At 41.4% G+C, this 10981-nt stretch overlaps 1 long non-coding RNA gene across 3 annotated transcripts, besides 1 other annotated feature; it reads left to right on the top strand.

Moving 5' to 3' along the window:
* Positions 763-1628: an enhancer, noted in NCBI's record as "NANOG-H3K27ac hESC enhancer chr15:38364669-38365534 (GRCh37/hg19 assembly coordinates)". NCBI's record gives its function as "activates a minimal SCP1, AML or CMV promoter by ChIP-STARR-seq in naive H9 embryonic stem cells {active_cell/tissue: H9 hESC(naive)}" and the evidence as "EXISTENCE:reporter gene assay evidence [ECO:0000049][PMID:30033119]".
* On the top strand, positions 1106-5284 carry LINC01852 (long intergenic non-protein coding RNA 1852). Of its 3 annotated transcripts, NR_147201.1 has the most exons (3): positions 1106-2048; positions 2139-2266; positions 4156-5284. It is a non-coding gene; the product is annotated as a long intergenic non-protein coding RNA 1852 (long non-coding RNA). The 3 variants fall into 3 exon arrangements; NR_147200.1 differs by lacking the exon at positions 4156-5284 and having other exon boundaries at positions 2139-2473; NR_147199.1 differs by lacking the exons at positions 2139-2266; positions 4156-5284 and having other exon boundaries at positions 1106-2078.
* Positions 5285-10981: the final 5697 nt, after the last annotated feature.

The raw sequence follows: 10981 nt of genomic DNA, 5'->3' as shown, positions 1-10981 counted from the left end.
TCTGACACAAAGGGAGAAAAGAAAACATATTTTTGAACAACACTTTTTTCTTGGAGGCTTTCTTTTTGAAAATTATTTTTAAGTTTGTTTGAGGCAATTTTTACTGGGATGAACCAGCTTCTTTTGGAGGGCGGACAAGTCTCTTCCCCTCTTAGATCTTATCTGCTTCTTATCTGTAAAATGAATGCATTAGGGTTGATAAGTCTTCCTATATCTGGTGTTCTTTGATTCTGCCATTCCCTGTTTAAGCCAGAGCCTAGGAATCTAGATCTGGAGGCTGTTTCTGTTTTAGATTGTGCACTAGAAATTAAGCACACACCGCCCCAACTCCCCCAGCTGCCTGAGACTTAAGAAAAAGTGAGACTGCAGTCCTTTGATTTGGCGTTAGAGCTCTCCGTGGCATTAACCTGTTGTTGGTCTAACCTGTGGGGCCAGAAGAAGTGTGCTCGAAATCTGTGAACATGGTTGCTGAACAAACGCGTTTTGGTTTCTTTCTTTTCCTTTTTTCCTTTTTCCCAGGAGTGAGGAGGGGGAGGAAAAAACTGGTCTTTGTTGTGAAGCCACGGTCCCAAACTTGAACCTAGAGGAATGTTAAAGCTCTGAAAAAAAGTTAGGGAGCAGCCTTGCAATTATGCACTCAGTCACAACAAGAGGGTAAGAACTTTCAAGGCACTGGATTGAAGAGACACAAAAGTCAGGAAATGACCCTTTCGTCGGGATTTCAGAGGCCGCAGAGGAGAAACAAAGTCCTCTCACAACTCGGGAAACTTCGGACCGTACCATCCCGAGGGGGCAAGGGTGGGGGAGGCCGGGAGAGGGCAGTGGAAATTGACATCTTCGTTCTCAACAAGCCGTGAGTAAACTGAGGATTTCCCGGCTGAAAGGACTCAGTGTCTGCCTGTCCCCGGCCCAGAAATGAAAGCGAGTTTCAGCCGATCCTCATTGTGGGGCCTGCTGAAAAAGCAGCCCGGGTCGCCCCGGCCAGCCCCGGCGTCCTGAATCGGAGCCCTGTGCGCGCCAGGCCGGGCCGCGCGCCCGGGTTGCAGGATGGCGTGCCCAGGCCAGCCCATCTGCGGCCGCGGGCCGGCGGGGAGGAAGCGTCCCTGGGGATGAATGGGGCTTTGTTCGTAGGCAGCCGCGGCTACCCTCTGCAGGCCCGGCCCGCACAACAGAGGCTGTATGCGAGAGGAATGGAAATGAGCCTCAGGCCCTGCCGAAGGAGCCCCATCCCCTTCCCCGCGCGGGGCTGAGGAATGCTGGCCAGCCGGAAAGGAACCCTCGCTGGGAACGCCGCTCTCGCGCCTCTGAAACCCCATTGAGAAGAACCCTTTGATGCAATTAAAGCGCATTTCATTGCAGGCCTGGGAGGAGGGAACGACCGGCAAGCTTTTTTCTGTCTCGGACGTGTGTATGCACCTTTGTGGGCCGGGTTACTTAGAGACCAGGCGGGAACTTGAGCTCCCTCTCTCGCAGACGTTCTGTAACATCAGAAAAGCGTACCCATAAACAGATTGGTTTTCACCAGGGGTGGAACTCAATTTGGACACGATCCAGGCTGACCTGCAGGCCGGGGTTCCTACTTTGAAAGGCTCTTTGGTGCGCCTTACACCCACCTTCCCTGCTGTAAAGGTTTAGGCGGAAAAGAAATTGCGTTTGCAGGAGGAAGTTGTTTCTGAGGTTACTGCTCAGCATTTTCCATTTTCTCAGTGGTGGGGTGGGCCGTGTCGCATATCCAGAAGTGATGTCACAGCCAGACCTGCAAAATGATGTAACCTGCAAGTGTTGAAGGACGACGATGGGACAGCTATTTTGATACTCGTATTATTTTATAACATTTCCCTGCTTTTTCCATTGAGACAACTGTGTGACCTCAGAAAATCCACATAGCCTCTCTGAACTTAGTATTTTTGTGTGTGTGTTAAAATGAGTATCACAAAGCCGGAGAACGAATGTGATGAAGTTCTGGGTGCTTGTGGAATTCTTTCTAAGTTGGAGGTGGACACTTTATCTACCTGCACAGGTGGAAGATATGTGGGTCTGGAACTCCGGTAAACAAAAAGATCCTATTGGGACCTCTATTTGGTTGACTTTGTGTCACTTTTTACTAGGGCTAATTGTCTAATGTCTCTTTCCACTAGTGTATGCCTCCTTGAGAACATGAACCTTTAAACAACAACAACAACAATAACAACACGAAGACAAAGTCCTGTCTGCTCTCCCAGGCTAGAGTGCAGCGTGCAATCGTGCAATCGCAGCCTACAGTAAGGTAGAATTCCTGGCCTCAAGCTATCCTCCTGCCCCACCGTGGCCTCCTGAAGGGCTCCGATTACAGGAGGGAGCCACTGCACCCAGCCAAACCTGTCTTTTATTCTGTATCTCCTGTGCCCAGAGCAGTCCCTGGCCCTGATAAGGGTTCAACAAATATGTTGAGTGAATGAACAAATACATTCAGGAGTGTAGGGATTGATACTAACTTGTTGGCTGTTTTCTGTTCCTTATAAATCTAAATAAGAAATAGGGAGAGCATGGTAGGTATTTGGGGTCCTCGGCGAGGCGTAAGTTCAGGAGAAGTTTGAAGGAAAGGGTAGGAAAACATTTTTGAGAGCACAAACATGCTACAAGTGTTTCCTGAAATGCCCCAAAGAAGAGTGCAGCACTCAGGTGGAGGAGTCATTTTTTCCAACTGAGTGGATGGTTAATACTGGCAAACATGAATCATGTTTTATATTCATAAGGAGTGTGCCTAGTCAATCACTGATTCTTTAAACACCCCAGAGAAGCAGGGCGGGAAGAGTAATGGCCATGCATGATGGACATCATTGTTTCTTATACGTTGCTCTAAATGTGTCCCCATGGTTCTTGTTATTTTGGGCCTGGTTTAGACTTCTATTTGGTTGTTTTCCTCTGAGGTCTGGAATACACGAATATGTTTTCCACTCAGAAAATCCAATACACTTTTGCATCCCAATCAGGAAGTTGATAAACATGAGATAGTAGAGTACTTGCTACCTTAAATATACCTCCACATGTCTGCAGGAAATACCATTCAAGTAATGCCTAGGTAAGCAAATGCCTGCTCCTGTCTTTTTCCCTCACTCTTACACCACACACACACACACACACACACACACACTGATCAGATGGTGAGTAATATAAAGTCTGTTTAAAGATGGGACCTCCATAATTCCTTGTTTGTGTCAGGGGCAATATGCGAAACACACGGCTGCCCACAACATTGTTTCTTGTCCTGTGGGTCCGTTTGGCTTTTTGTCTTGATGTGGGCATCAACCCTGAGAGTGGAGACTGTTTTTCAGACTGTCCCATTCGTGTCTATTTAACCAGGTGAGTACAACCCACTTAAAAATCTCACATGTGAGGTGATTCCAGGATAGAACAAAAGTTGTACAACAGTAACAGTTGTGGTTTCCCTCCCTTTACAGAACTAGTGAGTTTTCATCAAATCATTGGGTATTTCTGTTTCTTTCTGATTTACAATATGCTTTTGTAGAGCACCTTTATCCTCATTTCAGATTGGTCATTACTAGGCAGTGACTTGAGTCGATCTACCTGACACTAGCAAATAATCAATGATTCAGAAGGGATTAGTGAAAGCAAGGATCAAAGGTTCTTGTCTGATTACCTCCATAAAGTCAAAAATCTCAAGTGATCATGTTTTATAAATTTTGATTAACTTGTTTTTTTAAAAAGACTATACCTATTTATCTGGAAATACAATTCATTAGCACCTTTTATCTTAAAAACCTAGAACTCCACATGCTTGAGAATTGTGGATGAGGATGAAGTTTGCAGAGACAGGTCCCAGAAGAGAAAAAAACAAGGATGGTCATTCCGTACTGCCAATTAAGAAATAACCTCAGAGAGGTAAAGTGGCTTGTCTGTTGTCACAAACGGTGGAATTAGAGTTGGATCTCTATTCTCCTGATTTCCAAGACTGTCCTCAAGGCCTCTAGTGCTTTAATGCCAAGGAAGCCTGCTATTTAGATAGAGACCAGACTCTGCATCCCAAGGGACATAAGAAAGCTGCCTCGTCTGATTTGATAAGATTGAGATAGCCATATTGCATACTGCTTTTCCATTTTTGGAAGGTATACATTATTAGCTCAACTTCCCTTTTCTTCTGCCTTATTTGTCCAGAAGCCAGAAACGTGAAGAGAAGACCTCGCCTTGATTTGCCAGATGACCCCTGGCCTTTTTAGTCAAGTTCCTGGAGAAGTTAGGGTGGAGACTTATTTGTCCTGTGTTTGGGGCAATAAAAGGGGAGGGGCCGCCTCCTCCAGCCTGTTCTAAAAAGCCAAAAAGCAAGGCTATTTACTCAGACCTGGGCTACTAAGTGCTGGGGTGGCCCATGTTGACTTAAATGAGCCCTTGCAGTTAGGTGGGGCTCTCTGGAGCTGTTAGTCATGTGAGGTTGCCAGGGCAACTTAATGTCTTATGAGTTGGAATGCTTCAAGAAGTACAAAGAGGAGACTGCAAGAGTGCATTACAACTTACAGTCATATGTTCAATAACATGTCATCTTTCCTAATGGGGCTTTTATTTTTATTTTATTTTGTGGGATTGAAAGATCAGAAGCCGGAAATTATCTGGAGAGGATAAAGAAAAGGAAAAATTAAAGGAGGGGGCTATTTCTGTTCCTTATGTGGGCAGCGATTAAACAAGGAGAACATCTGGTCCTGGAGCGGGTCTCTGCAGCACTGCTTTTAATTACCCCGTCATTTGGTCTCATGCTAAATTAGTGACTGTGGGAGCAGCTTAGATCTCCAAACTGACAGCCCCGAAGAGCTCAACTCAGCCTGCCACATAGTCAGAGGGGAAACACGGAGCTTCCGGTTTCATATTTAAACCAGGGATTGACTCATAATTGTAGCTGTCAGGAGGGTGATGGAGACATTATGTAATCTGGTTCTTATGGCGATGTGTGTTTAAGGTTTCTGCTCTGTAAATTCCAGAGGAAATTTTGTGTCCATTGAGGGAGAGCTTGCTGGCTGCTCTGTGGTGTGCCCTGCAGGGTAATTACAGTGCTATTAAAGGTTCCTAAATCTGCCTGAATCCAAACATGAATGAATTTCCCCCTGAAAGGCCCTCCTGTTTTTCCATAGACTTTTAAATGTGGATGAGGTTAGGCGAAATCTGGCAAACTGCAAAGAGGCAGTATGCTGGCCCAATAGGGAAATGTAATAATGGCAAGCCATTCAGGTCCACAACTATTTTTTTTCTGGACCACATAGCTTCCCTTACTATTTCCCATCATTTCCAGTCTCAGAGATTCTGAAAGCGGACACCAGTTGCTTCTGGAAACAAAGGATGAAGCTGTGGATCATTAGTTCCATTTTCATGCTGCTTGTTACTTGCCTCTCAGAGGTTTCAGCACCTCTGTGGACTGGTGTAAGTTTGCAGGGCAGCCAGGGAAGGCTTGAGGCAGATCCAGTGTTTGCTGCCATCAAAAAAAAAAAAAAAAAAGAAAAAAAAAAAAAGAAAAAGAAAGTCAGATGAGGCTGTTTAATTTTAAACTAAAAAGAATGTGCTTTTAACTATTTTGCTTCAGGGAGACTTGTGGTATGATGTGATTGTTCTCTGTACCCAAGTAATATAAGTTTTGGCTGCATGATAAGAAGGATTCATTCATAGAGAATAGTGCTGATATTAGAAGAATAACAGTAAAGACAAAATAGAATTTTAAAGGGTGAATGGGAGTTATGGTGGTGGAGTGATGAGGACTGAAACCCTCAGACACCCCCTGATTGCTGATCTGGCTGACCCAGAGTTCTTGCATCTGTTTCTGTACTTTTCCTCTCTTTCTTAAAAAATCCCCAGTCCACCAGTACTTGGAGTGCTATACTTGGCCTTTTCATGACATCGCAGAAGACAATGGAATATAAAAAGTAGTTTTAGTCAAAATTAATAGCTACATGTGTAAAAATATGTCATCAAAATGCTGGCTATCATAGTCATCATCAATCAATCAATCATCATCATCTATATTGTAATTGATTGCAGTTAGGTGGTCTCTGTTGTAATCTCTATTTTTCTAGAAAAATGAACAATTGGGAGAATTGGATATTTGCCCGTTGGTCTTTGAAACATGGTACTGGGAGTGAGCAATGTTCACTTAGCAAGAAGATGGAAAGATCAGCACTTGCTTTCCTACCACGCCTTGGAAATTTTTATGTAAGGTCATCCTATAAGTAGAATGGCTTGTCTTACTATGGTGGACCACATTTGCATTTTAGCTTTGCTTACCTAGCTCCAGATATTCACCTGATATGAGAAAGTTATTTTAATGAAAATAATATATTTAATATGCTTGTGTATTTATACACATAGAAATGTATATTTAAAGGAACGATTAAAAATTACCCTTATTCTTTCACAACCTCAGGCTGTAAAATCTTTATTAGGAAATAGTGACAGTGTAACAACTTGATTTATTTTCTCCCACCAGGCTGAAGTTTTATATGAATATTATCCAGTCACTATAGCTTGGGACCTTATCATCTGACTGATGGATGATGCAGGGATGGATAATTTCATAAGTTGTCTAGCCAGAGTTTATTCATTTTTCTAGTCATTGAAATGAGAAGACTTGATATGACTCCTATTGAGATACTTTCAAAGGCAACCATCCTTGTAATGGATTTTCTCTGTCAGAAAATTAGGTATTGATTTGCCTATTTTTTTTTCCCTGTACTAGAACTTACCGACGGACTAAGGATTCCTCTTCCAATTAACCCATTCATGCCTGAGGTTGCAATTTTTGGAATTTTTGGAATCAGACCTTGGTGATGACCTTGAGCAGTAGGATATAAATAATTCCCACGTGCTTAGCATTCCAATAATGGAACACCAGGCTTAAATAGGTGAAGGGCCATTAGCTTATAGAAAACGATAATCGAAGACAACAAAACAGTATTATCCTGGGGGCTTAAAGAAATTAAACTGAGCATTGGATGCGGTCATCAATAGGACATTTCCCTTTCTTGTCTTTTCTGACTTCTCTATCCAACCACAGGCTTTCATCATTGAGAATGAAGTAGCCAGAAGGGATAATTACCAGAGATAATAACTTATCTTTGATTTTAAAACATTAAGGAATTTTTATTAAGATTTATTAATAAATACATTTAATTTAGTTTGATTAGAATTATAGCTTTAGCTTGGCCTAAAACTGCCCCACCTTTCTGGGATCCTCCCTTCAGTTTTCTGACTCTTGGGCCACATGTGTATTTAGTTCTGTGACAAAGAGCCCTGGCTCCTTCAGGCACGATGCCCACATCATCAAGGTTAGAGGCGATTATAACTGATATGGGTTGCAGTCTGTTCCTGTCCTTGTAAATTCCGGATTGTACTTGCTCACTCCTACTTTCTATCTTATCTTCTCTTCCTGAAGACCCATGCTGTGGACTTCAAGCTCCAGCATCAGGCACAAAGACAACAGCCTTACAAAGACTTTTTAACCAGCCCCCATTGTGTAAGTTCAAATCTCCATAATAAATCCACTCCTCCCAAGCAAAACACACACACACACACACACACACACACACACACACACTTCCTAATGGTTTTGCTTCTCCGATTGAATTAATATTACTAATATTAATGTTGTTATGCAGATATCAAAGACCTAGGTAGGATTGTCTCAAGCTCTATTCATTCCCTGTAGAAGTCCAAAGTCCTCCCTAAGTTTTCTCCAAATTCTGTGAAGTCCACATTTTCACGGTCATTTTTGGCACATCTAATTTGCACAAAAGACCCTACAAAGCACTTGTGAGTATAATGTATTTATTAAAACTTTTGGTGGCATGAGGAGACAGAAGTGCAGTTCATGTTGAAACAAAAATAATTTCAAATTTAACTTGACTCATCTTTATTTGTAAAATGTTTCTCCACTATCCCATCCTTAGCGAATAGATACCCTTCCCTCATCCTATAAAATCCCCAGCTTCACAACAGCTCCTCGGTGCCTCTCTCCTTCCCCTTTTTCTCTTCTGCTTTCTGTTTCTCCCAATACTCCCATCCTCTTGTTTTCAAGTGCAGAGAAGCTTAACTATCTCTCTTTTCTTTTATGCTAAGATTATTGTGGATGTACGTCCATGTCCTCAGGATCTAACCTTCTATTCCCGATGGCTATTGTTCCAAGTCAAATACTGTTGCAATAGTTAAGAAAACAAAAATGTTGCCTGGTTACAATGGTAACAGGAGCAGGAAGCATACATTTAGTGCTTACTATGATCCAAACTCCAAGGGCTCTTTATGTCTTGTCTCGTGAGATTCCTACAAAAATTCAGTGAAGCCTGGCATTATGAGTCCCATTTTAACAATCTTGAAATTAGATCATAGAAAGTAAAAAAAACACAAAAGCAACTACAAAACCTAATATTTATTGAGTTCTTATACATCAGGCACTGTTTTAAGCACTAAATGTGTTTTGTTTTTAAATTGACTCTTCACAACTCTACTAGTTAAAAAAATTATCCCCATTTTACAGATAAAGAAACTGAGACACAAAATTAGGCAATTTTCTCACAATAAATAAAAAGTGGTACTGTGTATGGAAACCAGGCTGCTTGAATCTGGAACTCAGAATACCGTCTGACAAGGTAAGAAGGTGTTTAAATGTTTCTCATGTAGTCAGTTTCCTAACTCAACTTCATGACACCTTTCCTGGCTGACCGAATATTTCAACCATCCTTACGTTTTATATTTTTCATCGCTGTTTAATTTTTTCTCCATGGTACTTAATACTGACACATATTTTACTTATTTATTTTTTTTAAATTTTCTGTCCCCACTACCAGGATGTAAACTCCGTGAGGGCAGGGACATTTCTGTCTGTTTTACTCACGATTGCATCTCCAGGGCTGATAGGAATGCCTTTCACATAGTAGATGCTCAATAAGTAGTTACTGAATGAATCAATAAATGAATATATGCATGTATGAAAAGCTGCTTACACAGAGGACAGGGCCTTCTTATTAGGTTTTGCAGATACGTCAGGAAAACCCCCTTTGAATGGAGTTTGAAAAAGCTCTAAATTGGTGGGCTTTAAATGTGATCAAACTCATGTTGGGAGACCTTCAAATACTGTGCTCATTTTCAGGCCACCTCATGTTCCCGTCTCTTCTCTGCCTCCCCTAGGTGTATGTGTTTAAATCTCTCCATCCTGGTTTAACAGCCTTCTCTGTGGGCCTATTCTCTAGAAAATTCTTTGACTTGCCAGTTTACTTTTCCCATTTATAAGATGGAGATAATTTTACTTCTAACAACTTCAGCAGGATTTGGAAGAGATCATTGAGATGATAGGAAACCAAACAAAGTATTGAATCTTGGGAAGACTCTGGCTATAGAAACATAAATGAAAATTAAGATAAAATCCTTTTAAAAAATTATTGTTAGAAATTACCTAGCATGTAAATTTAGAATTTTTTTGTGTTTGTTTAATGAGGAAGTTACTTTTTCAGTTTGATTTTCTATTTAGGTTGGTAAAATGTATTAAAATTGTATCATGAATTAACAGCAAAGATAATATCTACTTATTAATTCAACAAACATTATCAAACATTTTTTATGCCAGACACCATTTTAGTATTAAAACAGCAAAAATGTCAGTGAGAAAAACAGAACCCTGGATTCTTGTATCATTCACAGAGAGATGTTTTTTAGAGATTGGTTATTGTATTAGCTTGTTAGGGTTGCCATAACAAAGTACCACAGACTGGGTGCCTTAAACAACAAAAACTTAGTTTCTCACAATTTTAAAGGCCAGCCATCTGAGATCAAGTTGTCATCAGGGTTGGTTTCTCCCGAGGCTTCTCTCTTAGGCTTGTAGGCGGCCATCTTCTTTTTCTGTCTTAATGTGATCTTTCCTCTGGGCCCATCTATGTCCAGATTTCCTCTTCTTATAAGGATATCAGTCGTTGAATTAGAGCCTCACCTCAATGACTTTGTTTTAACTTCATCGCCTCTTTAAAGCCCTATCTCCGAATACGGTCACATTCTGAGGTACTGGACATTAGGGCTTCAATATATGAATTTTTGTGAGGACACAGTTTAGCCCATAGCACTTCTTGTATTGCCAAACTTTTTGGGTTTCATTTTACTTGTTTAAAATAACAGTGGTGCTTTCTATACATACCTGTTATTAACACATCACTTAGTGGTTTTCTTTCTTTATGAGTATTGCAACCAGGTGGAAATAAACCTAGCTTTGGGAGTGACAGTAATATTATCAGAGGTCCTAGATGGACCAGACTTTGATCAGCATTACACAAACCCACCTAAATGGACAAGGGAACTGTTTTCTAAGATTTAAGCTTTTTGGAAAATGAGTATTGTACAGCTGAGCATTTCTTAAAGGGACTACTATAATTATTGGACCATACTAAACTTTTGACTAGATGGAATTCAAAGTTAATTTTCCTCTGGCCAACCAATGTGTAGAAACTCGGAAGACAAGTTACAGGCAAAATAGAGGAGTTAGATCCCAGCACCATCATTATTGTTGTCAACATCATTTTTACCATGTCACAGTGGGTGCTTTTACTGTCTTTTCCTCTCCTTGTTCTACTTTCTTCCCAACAAGTTTGTGAGCTGCTTGTGGGTAGGAAGTAGTTTAAGACTGTTGTCCATGTCCATTTATGCTTTGCATGATGCTGGGCACAGAGCCGGGGCTTGGTAAGCACTCATTGACCAACTGCAAGCTGTTTGCTGAGCCTGACAGTCAGAGGAATGGTGGTGGAAGAAGGATAGTAGGGAAGGGCATAGTTGACTGGCATGGCACAGCGAAGAGTGAATCCGTAGGTGGTTATGGCACTCTTGGCCTTGATCCAGCTATTGATGGATGTCACTATGGAGTTCTGATGAGAAGAAAGAGATGATTTTGTAGCTGCATGAAAAATGAGCTTCAGAGCAGGATTTCTCCAGTTTTATGAAATACAGACTTGTCATGATCTGCAAAGGATGT

Source organism: Homo sapiens, chromosome 15 (assembly GCF_000001405.40).
Source record: "Homo sapiens chromosome 15, GRCh38.p14 Primary Assembly".
Classification (NCBI taxonomy): domain Eukaryota; kingdom Metazoa; phylum Chordata; class Mammalia; order Primates; family Hominidae; genus Homo; species Homo sapiens.
Note: the sequence above shows the minus strand (reverse complement) of the source record. Positions and strands in the feature narration are given on the sequence as shown.